The sequence below is a fragment of the Homo sapiens genome, chromosome 16, assembly GCF_000001405.40.
Source record: "Homo sapiens chromosome 16, GRCh38.p14 Primary Assembly".
NCBI lineage: Eukaryota > Metazoa > Chordata > Mammalia > Primates > Hominidae > Homo > Homo sapiens.
In genome coordinates, this window is record NC_000016.10 from 22,452,852 (window position 1) to 22,468,080 (window position 15,229).

Genomic DNA, 15,229 nt, shown 5'->3' on the forward strand with positions numbered 1-15,229 from the left:
GTAAAGGTAGTGTAGGAGATAAGTAAACATGATGAAAACAGGAAGTGAAGATACGTTTAAATATTGGCAGACTTCAGTTATCTTTGTGTTTCTGAATTAGTCAAGTGCTTATTTTATTCGCTCATCTAATAAGAGCTTACTGTGGCATACATATAAAGTTCAAACCCTGTCAGAAAAGATTATAAGCTCTCTTAACGTTTCAGTCTCCTTTCAGAAAGTAATGGTATGCTATGATTTATATAGACGCATGTTAAGTGTGCTATTTTTAGGTACATAAGGAATGTCTTTTCATTAGTTTAAAAAAGTTATGGTCCATTGAGTTAATATTTTAATGCTTATAGACTTAGTATACTCAGAAAATATTCTCATACATTTTTCTTGAAATTCCATAGATTTTATTTTCCCTTATGTTCGAAGTACTTAGCTTTATGAATAAGTGAACTCTGAATATTAGAAGATACTCCTTATGGAGCCTTAGTCATTTTAGTATGCTAGGTTTTGAATTTCATGAAGTTTCAGATTGAGATCCTTTATAAGTAATGACTTGTACCAGTTAGATATCCAAGTTTAATTGGACCTATTGTCTGCATTCTGTATTAACAGTGATTGCAGTAAGTGCAGATCAAGGTGTCCAACTGATTGAGCTCATGCAAAGTTTTATGTTTAGTATTTTTGGGAGCAAGGAAAGACTAATAAACTCTAAACGAAATATATACAGTATACAAACACTGCTGTCACTTTTACACCATAGAGGGAGGGGCAAAGCGTAGAGGAATAGGTTAGTTTCTGGCCTTGCCAGTGTCCTAAACTTTTCTAAAAGATTCAGGTTCTAAAAGGTTGAGAAAGCATTTTTAGTAAATATCATAGAAGTGATTTTCTTTTTCTTTTTCTTTTTTTTTTTCCTCAAAATTGTTCCTCTCAGGAGAAAATCAGTAGGGGAAGAACTTACTTGGATTTTTCATATGCTATAACAGATTATTTTGTTGTCTTCTTTCTTGATAGTTTATGATTGATGGCTGAAAGAGTAACACTCATGAGAAGTCTTGTAACTAAGCTCTGTTTTACTTATGAGGCAGTTGAAGCATAGAGCAGATACTTAGATGAGGACACACTTTTACCCTTGGCTGTACCCTACTTGTTTACTAATAAGCATCAGGTATTATTCTAAACAGTACCTGAATTTTAAATAGATTACGAACTACAACTTTCTGATATAACTTTATTGCATTTCTGATACCTTTTATTTTCTTAAAATGTCTTCTTTTTTACTTTTTAAAATTTTGATTGCTACTCTTTACAATTAAGGCATCTTCAATGGGGTCTTCAATACTACAGTACCTAATCAGTACTTAGAAAATAACTTGGTAAGACATTGCCCGTCCCTGACATGCTGCCAGTGTTTTTTATTTTTATGACAGGAAAGGCTGAAATGTTTTGACTGATTAACCGTCTCCATGGGGGAGAATTTAGAAAGAATTATTCTTATTATCAAGTCATGTGAGGAGAACACTGGACCAGAGTAACCAATTGTCCTGTTTTGCCTGGGACAGGAGACTTTCAATGCTAAAACCAGCAAAGTCACCCTAATCCCAGTAGTTATTCATATTTCTGAATGGGTCTTTAGAACAGTAGAAGAGAGTGAAAAGTTGGCATTTCGTCCATTGAGACTCTCTTCCCAGTGAAAGACTTCTTATTAGACGGCTGAGTGCTTACATATAATATATAGTGCATATTACACTAAATACAATAGTAATGGTTAAATGTAAAATTTGGGAGAAGAGAGGCTTGTTTAAAGAAAGATTTATTTATGTTATTTAAAGTTCTAATCTTAAACTTTTCTCTTTTTATAGAACTGATAGTGCATCAGCCGACCCAGGTAATTTAAAATATTCTTCATCCAGAGATAGAGGTGGTTCTTCCTCTTACGGACTGCAACCTTCAAATTCAGCTGTGGTGTCTCGGCAAAGGCACGATGATACCAGAGTCCACGCTGACATACAGAATGACGAAAAGGGTATATATATTTTCTTATTGCTACAAGCATGTTTTTTGAACCTACCTATCCCACCTTCCTGCCTTCTTACACCCCCAACTTTCTCGCTTTCTTCTAATATATTTAAAATATGAATAACAAATGCAGTGTTATTTCTGAAAACTTCATAGGACGTTTATCCACTTTATTATTTTTAAAATTTAAAATTTTTCCATACATAATTCATCAATGCAGTTTTCTTACAAAAAAGATACAATACTATTTTTGTTTTTATTTTCAAAAATATTTAGCTAAGGTTGAAGTTCCTCTTGGCTACTGTCTCTAAACTTCAAGAAAGTTTTAAAACAAGGTGCAAAATTTGATTTAATTTAGTTTTCATTTCTTTGCTTATTTTCCAATGAAGGGATCAAAATAAAATTAATTTAACTTCAAAGGTGTATTAAAAGAAATGAAAATGATTTTCAAGGCAGACAGTACAGGAAAAAGGTAGGAGAAGCAAAGGCTGGTTGAGCTGCAGATTGAGTCATAAGATCCTGAGCTATCAGGAAATTGACTGAATGAAACGAACAATCATATTTAAATGACGTACACATGGCTGTTTGTAGGTGGCTACGGTGTCAATGGGGGATCTGGGGAAAATACTTATGGTCGGAAGTCATTGGGGCAAGAGCTGAGGGTTAACAATGTGACCAGCCCTGAGTTCACCAGTGTTCAGCATGGCAGTTGTGCTTTAGCCACCAAAGACATGAGGAAATCACAGGGTAAGGCTGGGAAAACGGGGACCAATCACATACACCTTCCAAAGACTTGTATCTCCTCTTATTCTGGATGCCTCTTACTAATGCCTTGCAAAGGCATAAGTTGATTAGTCTACTGTGCAGGTAAAAATTGTTTACATTCTTTTCCTGTGAATTGTTAATTTCCCACTAGAAAGGCTATAGTACATTTTAAAAGAGAATTCTCTTAAAACAAGATTAGAAGACTGGATAAGATCTTACAGAAAAGGTTTACCCAATTATCGTGGATATTGAATGTATAGTGCATAGTAGGCTCCTACTACAGCAAGTCCTTGAACTCTTGGGCCTGTGGAGGATATAGATATATGTAGAGAGGGGGTACTTTTCTGTCTTTTTTTTTTTTTTTTTTTTCTCTCTTTTAAGTTCAGGGTACATGTGCAGGATGTACAGGTTTGTTATGTAGGTAAACGTGTGCCATGGTAGTTTGCTGCACAGATCATCTCATCATCTAGGTATTAAACCCAGCATCCATTAAGCTATTCTTGCTGATGCTCTCCTTCCCCCCGCCCCCTAGAGTGGGTACTTTTCTGGTTTTTTTGTTGTTGTTGTTTTCAATATATTTTTTTGAGACAGAGTCTTGCTCTGTCACCCAGGCTGGAGCGCAGTGCTGCAATCTCTGCTCACTGCAACCTCCGCCTCCCAGGTTCAAGTGATTCTCATGCCTCAGCCTCCCAAGTAGCTGGGATTACAGGTGCATACCACCATACCCAGCTGATTTTTGCATTTTTAGTGGAGACAGGGTTTCACCATGTTGGCCAGGCTGGTCTCGAACTCCTGACCTCAAGTGATCACACGTGCTCATTACAGGCGTGAGCCACCGGGCCCTGCCTTGAGTGGGCACTTTTCTAAAGTTAAATACACTGATAGCATTTCTGCCTTATGACATAGCCTCACTGTATAGGTGAGTGCCTTGGAAGTTCAGAGGATTGGCCGGGTGCAGCGGCTCACGCCTGTAATCCCAGCACTTTGGGAGGCCGAGACGGGCAGATCACGAGGTCAGGAGATCGAGACCATCCTGGCTAACACGGTGAAACCCTGTCTCTACTGAAAATACAAAAAATTAGCTGGGCGCGGTGGCGGGCGCCTGTAGTCCCAGCTACTCGGGAGGCTGAGGCAGGAGAATGGTGTGAACCCGGGAGGCAGAGCTTGCAGTGAGCTGAGTGCGCCACTGCACTCCAGCCTGGGCGACAGAGCGAGACTCCGTCTCAAAAAAACAACAACAAAAAAGAAAGTTCAGAGGATTAGAGGTAATGATAATTTTTTTCCTTAAAGAGAAATTTATCGGTAAAGCTGAGTTATGGGCTTTGTCAGATGTAATTACTTTTTGGACGTTTAGTTTTTGACTTTTTTTTTTTATTTTTTATACTGTGTGTGTGCTTCGTGTATCTTGGTGAAAATCTTTGTGCCTGTAGCTTTTATTGTTGGTATATAACTTTTAAAAAACTGATTTCTTTTTATGTTTTCACAAGTGGAATGAATTCAAAGGCTATGTATGCTGTTTGTTAAAATAGAGTGTTTGAAGCCTTAGACTTATGATATTATAGAAGCTAAACAGCGACTCTAAAGTAGTTCAGTAGAGAATTCCTCTTCTTCAAAGGCTCAGGGTCATGTAGTTTGCTAGTGACAGAATTGTAAGTAGAGCCTAATTTCCCAGCTGGTAACTTGATGACATATTTGGTATCTGTCCTTATTGAAATACTCTATGGGCTACGGATTTGTAAAAATCCTATTCTTCTCTCAGTCATTGTAGTTTCTTTTTTTTTTTTTTTTTTTTAACTTAAATTCAGGATACAAGTGCAGATTTGTTACAGTGGTAAACTTGTGTCATGAGGGTTTGTAGTATAGATTATTTTATCACCCAGGTATTAAGCCTGGTACCCATTGGTTGTTTCTCTTGATCCTCTCCTTCCTCCCACCCCCCACCCTCCAAAAGGATCCAGTGTGTGTTGTTCCCCCTTGTAGTTATTTATTTATTTATGAGATGGAGTATCTCCCTGTCACCCAGGCTGGAGTGCAATGGCGCGATCTCAGGTCACTGCAGCCTCCACCTCCCAGATTAAAGTGATTCTCCTGCCTCAGCCTCCCGAGTAGCTGGGATTACAGGAGCGTGCCACCACGCCCGGCTAATTTTTTGTATCTTTAGTAGAGACGAGGTTCCACCATGTTGGCCAGGCAGGTCTCCAACTCCTGACCCCGTGATCTGCCCTCCTCGGCCTCCCAAAGTGCTGGGATTACAGGTGTGAGCCACCATGCCCAGCCTTCTGGTTTCTTTTATTATCAATTTTTTCTCATACCTTAGAAATGAAACTGTCAGACCCTTTGTGATTTGTTGTTTACGTATGTATTGGCTAATTATGGTAAATAGCACAGTTGAAAATGTTTTGCAAAAATTGAGTTTTTTGTTTTGTTTTGTTTTTTGAGACAGTCTCGCTCTGTCACCCAGGCTGGAATGCGCTAGTGTGATTTCACTGCAACCTTTGCTTCCCAGGCTAAAGCGATCCTCCCACCTCAGCCTCCTGAGTAGCTGGGATTACAGGCATGTGCCACTGTGCCCAGCTAATTTTTGTATTTTTCGTAGAGATGGGGTTGTACCATGTTGCCAAGGCTGGTCTCGAACTCCTGTGCTCAAGTGATCTGCCTGCCTTGGCCTTCCAAAGTGCTGGGTAATTACAGGCAAGAGCCACCTCGCCCAGCAAAAATCTAGTTTTTAAAGGCATCGTTAATATACTAATAGTATTCACTATTGTTTGCTTGTTCTTGTGATTAAAAAATAAAGGGAGAAAAGTTGTGGTTTGCTACCTTTCTAGTGGAGGCATGCCTTGCATGTGGTAGATGATAATTAGACATTTGTTGAACTAAATGTGTGATTATGGCTCCCCAAAACTTCATCCCAGGGAAATGATGATAATGTGAATAAGAGGCTTTCCTCCAGTGGGATACCTAGATGATAAGTAGAAGCCTATATCCTGTTTTTACTCGATTGAGACTTTATCCATACCCCTTGGAAGTTGTTTAATTTACCTACACCCGGGCTCTTTACCTGCATGTTGAAAACAGTTTGGAATGGACCCAAAGAAAGTTGTTACTAAGGCCTTTCTTTTTTCTCTCCCAGCCAGTCCTCTGGAATGAGGTGTTCAGTTGGCCTAGGGTTATTCATTTCTTGTTTCCTTCAGCAAATATTTTTTTGAGGGTCTGTTATGTGCCAGGCACTCTGCTGGGATTTGGAATACAGAGTTGAACAAAAGAGCGATAGGACCTATATTCCCTGAGCTTTTATTGACCAGTGGACTGTGACTTTTGATGTAATTTTATTTTTGAGAGAGGGTCTTGCTCTGTCACCCAGGCTGGAGTGCAATGGGGTGATCTTGGCTCACTGCAACCTCCGCCTCACGGGCTCCAGTGATTCTCCTGCCTCAGCCTCCCGAGTAGCTGGGACTACAGGTGCACCCCACCTTGGCTGGCTAGTTTATGTAATTTTTTGTGTGTCTGTGGAGACAGGGTTTCACCATGTTGCCCAGGCTGGTCTCAAACTCCTGAACTCATGTGATCTACCCGCCTTCCAAAGTACTGGGATTACAGGCATGAGCCCCCATAATAATTTAATTATTATTTAAATAATTTTTAATTTTAAAAATTTTAAAATTATTTTAAAATTTAAAATTTCCTTTGCTTATTTATACTCAGTGGACAACAAAATGTTTATATATTCACAGAGAGATCGATGTCTTATTGTGATGAGTCTCGACTGTCATATCTTCTTCGGAGGATCACCCGGGAAAACGACCGAGACCGAAGATTGGCTACTGTAAAGCAGTTGAAAGAATTTATTCAGCAACCAGAAAATAAGCTGGTAAGTATAGTATGTTTGGAAATATGAGGATTTTTGTGTTTCCATAATAAACTAGGTAATGCTACCTTGAGTAGTTTAAGAATGGGGAAAGTCTGTATTATGATGATCAAGAACTTAATGCTCTCTAATATGTAATTTCTTTTTCTTCTTAAAGACAAGATCTTGCTCTGTCGCCCAGGCTGGAGTGCAGTGGCACAGTCATAGCTCACTGCAGTCTCAAACTCCTGGATTCAAGCTATCCTCCCGCTGTGGCCTCCTGAGTAGCTGGGACTTCAGGCATGTGCCACTACACCTGGCTGAGGTGGAAGAATCACTTGAGCCCAGGAATTCAGGGTTGCAGTGAGATATGATCACACCTCTGCATGTCAACCTGGGCGACAGAGGGAGTCCTTGTCTCTTAAAACAACAACAGAAATGTAACAAAGTATAGGAAGGGTTAAATTTTTTTCTTCACTTTCTTTACACCAATTAAGAACTTGATATGGGCCAGGTGTGGTGGCTCATGCATGTAATCCCAGCATTTTGGGAGGCCAAGGTGGGTGGATCACCTGAGTTCAGGAGTTCGATACCAGCCTGCCCAACATAGTGAAGCCCCCATCTCTACTAAAAATACAAAATTAGCTGGGTGTGGTGGCACATGACCGTAATTCCAGCTACATGGGAGGCTGTGGCAGGAGAATCGCTTGAACCCAGGAGACGGAGGTTGCAGTGAGCTGAGATCACGCCATTGCACTCCAGCCTGGGCGAAAAGAGTGAAACTCCATCTTAAAAAAAAAAAAAGAACTTGACAATGAGCAGGAGAAAATTAATGAAAATGGTCTAGTGAGGCAGATGACACTTGGATCAAAGCAAGTTTCTCCTCCTTCCAAATTTTATTATGAGTAGTTTCAAATATATAGCAAGTTGAAAGAATTTGACATTGAATCTGTTAAACCCATCATCTAATTTTTGTCGTTAACATTTTACCCTAAATACTGCCTTGTCACATATCTCTCCATCTATCCCTCCATCCGTCAGTCAATTTTTCAAATGGATTTCAAAGTAAATGAAACAAGCTTTTTGAGTTTATTTTTTTGTTGATGATCACAGCTCTATGTTTCCAGTGGGTGAATTTCTTTCATAGGCTGAAAGGAAACATGACATTCCTGATACATGCTCATTGGGGAGTGGGAATAATAAAGAAAGTAAAGTACTGTTGAATTAGAATTTGGAGGGAAGACAAGTAAAAAAGTACACAATGCTATTCTTAAAAGTATAGGAATTTGAAGTTTTTATAAATGTGTTTTCTTTTAAAGGTACTAGTTAAACAATTGGATATCTTGGCTGCTGTACATGATGTGCTTAATGAAAGGTAAGTAACTAATAATGGTTCGGTTTAAATGACTTTAAAATATATTTTTAGAAATTACTTAACAATACACAAGAAGACAAACCCACTGGCTTTGTTTATGAACATTTATTGACATTTCAGTGGGTCTTGTCATTTTTATCTGCATTAATTATGTGTTAATTACGGTTGAATACAAATGGAATCCACTTGAAAAGAATATTTATTTTTTGAGCCGGAGTCTCACCCTGTCGCCCAGGCTGGAGTGCAGTGGTGCGATCTCAGCTCACTGCAACCTCCACCTCCCGGGTTCAAGTGATTCTCCTGCCTCAGCCTCCCGAGTAGCTGGGACTACAGGCGTGCACCACAACTGCCAGCTAATTTTTGTATTTTTAGTAGAGACAGGGTTTCACCATGTTGGCCAGGCTGGTCTGGAACTCCTGACCTCAGGTGATCCACCCACCTTAGCCTTCCAAAGTGTTGGGATTACAGGCATGAGCCACCGTGCCTGGCTGGAATATTTTATTTTTTTAATTTGCTAGTCTCACTGGATAACTGAGTCTTGACTTATGGAATGGCATAAACTCTTGATGCAGGCATGAAGAATAAAATTAGTTTTTGTAAACAAGAGAATTTGAAACTGCTTAGAGAATAGAGGTAAAAAGGAATTTCCTTCTTTGGGTAAGAGTGGATCCAAACCATATATTCTCTGGCTATTAGAGTCTCCAGAGGTGTGTGGTCATTTTTTGTTATGGTGATTCCCAAAGATTTGCAGTGTTGGCAAGTACCCAAAATTTATCTCAGCTGGTCATAAACCTTAGTGCCTTTTGATGGTTTTGTTTTATAGAGTTACTTATTAAAGTTCTATGTAAATCATTACTGTTATCCTTTTAAGTTTCTGTATTTAACTATTACCATTTTTTATTTTATAGTCATTACATATTGGATATTATGTAGAATGTAGTTATGTATAGAGTGTTTTATCTACTTATTTGTTGCTGCCCTTTTCTGAGAGTTATTTAATACAGTTTGAGATGGAATTTAGCATTTTTGGGCCTTCCCTCACTGTTTGTAAATAATTGATTTTGTAAAAAGAAAGTGATGTCAGACAGATACTTGAGGGCAATGCAGGCTAGACAGAATGTAGTATTTAGAGTGGAGAAAATTTCAACCTTTTATGTAGTTTGAATAGAAATTTAAAAAACCACTTAAGACATTCTTTTGTAAGATGTATTACTCGTGTCATCATAGAAAACTTAAGCCTTTTGTGTGTGTTTTTTGTTTGCATTAAAATAAACACAGTAGCAAATTGCTTCAGGAGTTGAGACAGGAGGGAGCTTGCTGTCTCGGCCTTCTTTGTGCTTCTCTGAGCTATGAGGCTGAGAAGATCTTCAAGTGGATTTTTAGCAAATTTAGCTCATCTGCAAAAGATGAAGTTAAACTCCTCTACTTATGTGCCACCTACAAAGCACTAGAGACTGTAGGAGAAAAGAAAGCCTTTTCATCTGTAATGCAGGTAAGAATGAAGGGGGAAAAAATGCATGATATACTTGGGAAGAAAATTGTCCCTTTAACACATGTCCTTGGAGGGGAGCTTGAAGAAGGGAATCATAGAATAGGGGTTATCTACTGATAGGAAATATGTTTTAAAAATTCCTCTTTCTCAGTTTGAGTAAAGGATACACTGTTCAAGGATCAGTGCTACATACATATATGCATATATGTGGAGAGAGAGGGAGAGATTTCTTCTAAAAAATTGGCTTACACGCCAGGCGTGGTGGCTCACGCCTGTAATCCCAGCACTTTGGGAGGCTGAGGCAGGCGGATCATGAGGTCAAGAGATCGAAACCATCCTGGCCAACATGGTGAAACCCCGTCTCTACTAACAATACAAAAATTAGCCGGGCGTGGTGGCACGCGCCTGTAGTCCCAGCTACTCAGGAGGCTGAGGCAGGAGAATGGCTTGAACCCGGGAGGCCGAGGTTGCAGTGAGCCGAGATCGCACCATTGCCTGGGAGACAGAGCCAGACTCTGTCTCAAAAAAAAAAAAAAAAAAAAAAAGATTTTTTTCCCCTTTGGTTTTTAGAAATGTTTTTTTTGAGATTGCTTAGGACCAGAATTTGCAAAGTTGAAAATAGGAACTCCACTAGTAATGCCGGATAGAAGAGTGCTTCACATTTGTAGAGGGAGACAAGAACTAAATATCACAACTTCTTTCTGAGCCTTTTGGTTTGCTAACGTGCCCCAAATTCTTATTCCAAATGGTATAAGATAATTATGTGTAAATGAATACTGGCTCTACTTAGTTGTATTTCATATTTGTGTATCTGAATATATTAAAATGTCATTCGTTTTTTTTTTTTTTTATGCAGAGTCTTGCTCTGTTGTCCAGCCTGGAGTGCAGTGGCATAATCTCGGCTCACTGCAACCTCTGCCTCCCAGGTTCAAGTGATTCTCCTGCCTCAGCCTCCCGAGTAGCTGGTATTGCAGGAGTGTGCCATTAGCCTGGCTAATTTTTGTATTTTTAGTAGAGATGGGGTTTCATTGTGTTGGCCATGCTGGTCTTCAACTCCTGACCTCAAGTGATCCTCCTGCCTCGGCCTCCCAAAGTACTGTGATTAGTGTCATGAGTCACCACACCTGGCCTAAAAGATCATTGATTTAGTTTTGAGTAAGATTTTAAGTGATTAAATTATGGTATTGTTGTGTTTGGAATATCTGATATTAGGGTTTTTTTTTTTTTTTTTTTTTTTTTTACAGTTTTTGATATGCTTTATTTTGGGTATGTAGTTTAAAAAATATAAAGGAAATATAAGGAATATTCTTTTTTTTTTTTTAAAATAAAAAATGTATTTTTAACTGGGCATGGTGGCTCACTCCTGTAACCCCAGCACTGTGGGAGGCTGAGGCTGGTGAATTGCCTGAGTCCAGGAGTTTGAGACCAGCCTGAGCAACATGGTGAAACCCTGTTTCTATCAAACAAAAAAAAAAAAAAAAAAAAAAAGGAAAAAAAATAAGTTGGGCATGGTGGCATGCACCTGTAATCGCAGCTACTTGGAGGCTGAGGCAGGAGGATCACTTGTGCCTGGGAGGTTGAAGCTACAGTGAGCTATGGTCAAGCTACTGCACTCCATTATAGGCAACCCTGTCTCAAAAAAGCAAAACAAAATGAAACATTTTCCCCTTGATTATAGAGGTTTGAGAAAAATTTGAGGGAAGATTCAGAAAATTACCTGTAACTGAACAGAATGCCACCAGCTTGGGCTTATTCTGCATGCATAATTATGAACATTTTCCCAGCTCTTGTGAAAATTCTCACATTCATAGAAAGATAGATGCACCAGTAAAATAAATACCTGTAAATACGATAATAATTTCATAATATATGCTTCACCTAGATTTACCAGTTACTAATATTTTGCCACAGTTTTATTTTCTCACACACTTTTGTTGAGCATCTGAAAACCATACACATGATGACAGTTCACCCCATAATGTTTTAGTATGCATCTCCCAAGAATAAGGTTTTTCTTCTGTATAACAAGAATATTGTAATCATACCTAAGAAAATGAATTTTATTACATATGTGTTCTATATTCAAATTTCTGTAATTACCCCAAGATGTCTTTTAAATGATTTTTAGCATTGATAGTCTGTGCCTGTGTAGATTATAACATTGGCTATTGCAAAATAATGGTTTTCTTTTTCTCTTTTTTTTTTTTTGAGACGTAATCTTGCTCTGTTGTCCAAGCTGGAGGGCAGTGGCACGATCTCGGCTCACTGCAACCTCCGCCTCCCAGGTTCAAGCAGTTCTCTTGCTTCAGCCTCCTGAGTAGCTGGGATTACAGGCATGTGCCACTGTGCTCTGCTAATTTTTATATTTTTAGTAGAGACGGAGTTTCATCATGCTGGCCAGGCTGGTCTTGAACTCCTGACCTCAGGTGATCCACCTGCCTCGTCCTCCCAAAGTGCTGGGGTTACAGGTGTGAGCCACTGCACCCAGCCTAAAATGATGGTTTTCTGATTCTAGCATTTCTTTGATAAGATTGCTATGTAAAGCACAGCTTTTCCTTTTTTAGGGAAAAATGTTTTTTAACAGCTGCAAAATAAATATTCTTTCAATGGAATGACAAATAGTTATTTATTATTTTATTTTTGCCATATATTTATTTTAAAAATTTATGTATAATGGTAACCTGAGCCTGCATGTTATTCATGTGTGGTGCCATACTGATCTTCCTTAATTTTAATATGAAGCAAGTACTAATATACTAAAGCATAAATTATATAAAATTTGCTTTATATTTTGGATTGCAAAGTAATTGTTGTACTTTATAGAAAAGTTTCCCAAATCCATTTTACTTTTTTGTATTTGAAATTTAATCACAGGTAGAATCTTAAAGAGAGCATTTAGGGATATTGTAAACAGATGTTATTAAGGACTAATGTTAACTGATGTCAAAGGACTAATATTAACAAACATTGAAGAAGAGAAAACAGTATCTGTTTTTAGCTTAACAGCTTAGTGGAGCGAAATATTTTCAGTTTATTTATTTTATTTATTTATTAATTTTTTTTTTTTTTTTTTTTGAGATGGAGTCTGGCTGTATTTCCCAGGCTGGAGTGCAGCGGTGCAATCTCAGCTCACTGCAACCTCTGCCTCCTGGGTTCAAGCAATTCTTGTGTCTCAGCCTCCCAAGCAGTTGGGATTTACAAGTCAATTCTTTTTTTTTTTTAACTAAAACTACAGAATCTATTTTTCTTGGTCTCATACTCAGGTTTTTATGTAGGCACTTCGTAAATAATGAACCTAATTTGCTTGTTTTCTCCCTATTTTGTTGAATGTTCACGGTTTGTAACTTTTATTTTTAAGCTTGTAATGACCAGCCTGCAGTCAATTCTTGAAAATGTGGATACACCAGAATTGCTTTGCAAATGTGTTAAGTGCATTCTTTTGGTGGCTCGATGTTACCCTCATATTTTCAGCACTAATTTTAGGGTGAGTTCCTCATTCCGCTGTTCAGATCATGGGGTGAGGGGGATGGTTGTGTGTGTGAGGAACTGAGGAATCAGATGGAAAACAGTGCCTCTGCTCCTTTGAATATAATCAGTGATATTTGAGGTTCCAGGGTTAAATGCCGCATTTTTCTTTCTGACGTTCGTACCTTAAAATATTTGAAGAAAATAAACTATTTCATTGTTGTCAGAAATGTAGTTCTTTTATTTTCCTGCCCCTCTCCCCTTTCTAAGTTTCTAGAATGTCAAGTAGGTAGAACATAGATGCTCCTTTTAGGATCTTTTGCTGTGAAATGGTCCACAGGTGGATTGCAGTAATATCTTAAAATGATTGGCCCCCTCTCTCTTTGTTTCCATCAAGGATACAGTTGGTATATTAGTTGGATGGCATAGAGATCATACTCAGAAACCTTCGCTCACGCAGCAGGTATCTGGTAAGTCTTGCAGCCTATACCAGTTATTTAAATACTGTCGGGGAGGAGCAGTGGTCCCCCAGTGACCATCTATCAATACCATTTCTTTAATAATGCAAGAAAACTAATTCAGAGAAATGTTTTATTGTAAATGAACATGACTTGTTAGCTAAATATATATTTTCAGAGGAAATTACTAGTAGGTGGGTAGAGTAAGTACAGACAGGACTTACCCAAGTTATTTGTAGTTTGTACTGGTAGGAAAGTATATGGTAAGAATATATTGCAGTGGCAATACCCTGAAGTGGACAATGGAAGATCCAAGTTATTTGTCACATTTTATTGTTTTTCTGGTTATTTTTTTAAAAAAGGAAATATAGGGTTAATTTGGAGAATTGTCATAAATGAGAAGTGGTTTTGTTTCCCACTTTTTTGGAGTTAAGTGAATGACTAGCGTGGCTCATTTGCACATTTCAGCTTGTTTCAAGTGTCATAGTTTCTCGTAACTTACTTGGTGTAATAAACTTTTGAAAATAAGATATTCAGGTGATAGTGGTCTGTTTCATTTTCACTGAGGAGATGAGTATACACCTTTAATGGTTAGATGTGGCCCTGGGATTAGCCGGGCCAATGGTAGATTGTGGCATTTTAGTCTTAAGTCATGTGTAGTGACAATATAGATATGAAATTTACTGAAAAAGTAAGGAAATAACATTTACCTGTTAATTTCTGCAGAAATTAAGGAGGTATTAATTAAAGAGGTATTGGTTAATCGTGATCAGCATGTTTAGCAGTCTTAATTTTATGATATAGGACATGTTTTAGGGTATGCTGCTTGAAAACCAGATACTTTTTAAAAGAAGCCTCTTATATTTTTTAATTTGGATTTTTTGGTGTTTTTTCTCCCCCCTACCCTTTCACAATTTCTTACGCGATTCCAAGGGTGGTTGCAGAGTTTGGAGCCATTTTGGGTAGCTGATCTTGCATTTTCTACGCCTCTACTTGGTCAGTTTCTAGAAGACATGGAAGCATATGCTGAGGTGAGTATATAGAAAGCTGTTTCTTAAAATTTTGGTTAAGAAAAAATCTTAAATTGTGCTAGATTTATTTTAAAATGGCTCAGACCTCCTGACATTTAAGCAGAAATTACAAGCCCATTGCAATATTTTGAAAAATTTTTTCTTTTTGAGACGGAGTCTCGCTCTGTCACTCAGGCTGGAGTGCAATGGCACGATCTCAGCTCACTGCAACCTCCACCTCCTGGGTTCAAATGATTCTCCTGCCTCAGCCTCCCGAGTAGCTGGAATTACAGGTGCCCGCCACTACGCCCAGCTAATTTTTGTATTTTTAGTAGAGACGGGGTTTCACCATGTTGGCCAGGCTGGTCTCAAACTCCTGACCACTGGTGATCCAGCCGCGTCGGCCTCCCAAAGTGCTGGGATTATAGGCATGAGCCCCCGTGCCCAGTCAGTATTTTAAACATTTATTTCAGATGTGTTTAAGTTACCAGGAGAATTACTGGAGAGACTAAAAGAAACGTTGCAAGCTTCGTATTTCGCAAAGCTTTACATACTCTCGGTAGCTGGTATTTTTCTAAAGACATATTTTGTTATTTATTTTTATTTTTTGTTCCCAGTCTTCAGAGTCTTAAAGCAAATTGATGTTGTGTTATAAAAAAACACAAAACACCAAAAGCTCCTAAAGATTTTCCTCTTACATATGTACAGGAGATCTTGAATCGTACTTTGGAGGACAAGCCTTGGCTTCAGCCAGCTTTTGTGGCTGTACGAATATAGCATAGGAGCTTTAAGAGCGCTGCTGAAGCCTCTGTT

At 38.5% G+C, this 15,229-nt stretch overlaps 1 pseudogene across 1 annotated transcript in view; it reads left to right on the plus strand.

The window, feature by feature from the left end:
* Window positions 1–15,229, plus strand: part of SMG1P1 (SMG1 pseudogene 1) — a 55,213-nt pseudogene that overhangs the window by 15,844 nt on the left and 24,140 nt on the right. Inside the window, exons 2-9 of the transcript NR_027154.1 lie at window positions 1,851–2,014; window positions 2,599–2,754; window positions 6,504–6,640; window positions 7,936–7,991; window positions 9,270–9,483; window positions 12,842–12,967; window positions 13,346–13,418; window positions 14,340–14,437. The product of NR_027154.1 is annotated as an SMG1 pseudogene 1 (transcript). The remainder of the gene's footprint in view (window positions 1–1,850; window positions 2,015–2,598; window positions 2,755–6,503; window positions 6,641–7,935; window positions 7,992–9,269; window positions 9,484–12,841; window positions 12,968–13,345; window positions 13,419–14,339; window positions 14,438–15,229) is intronic.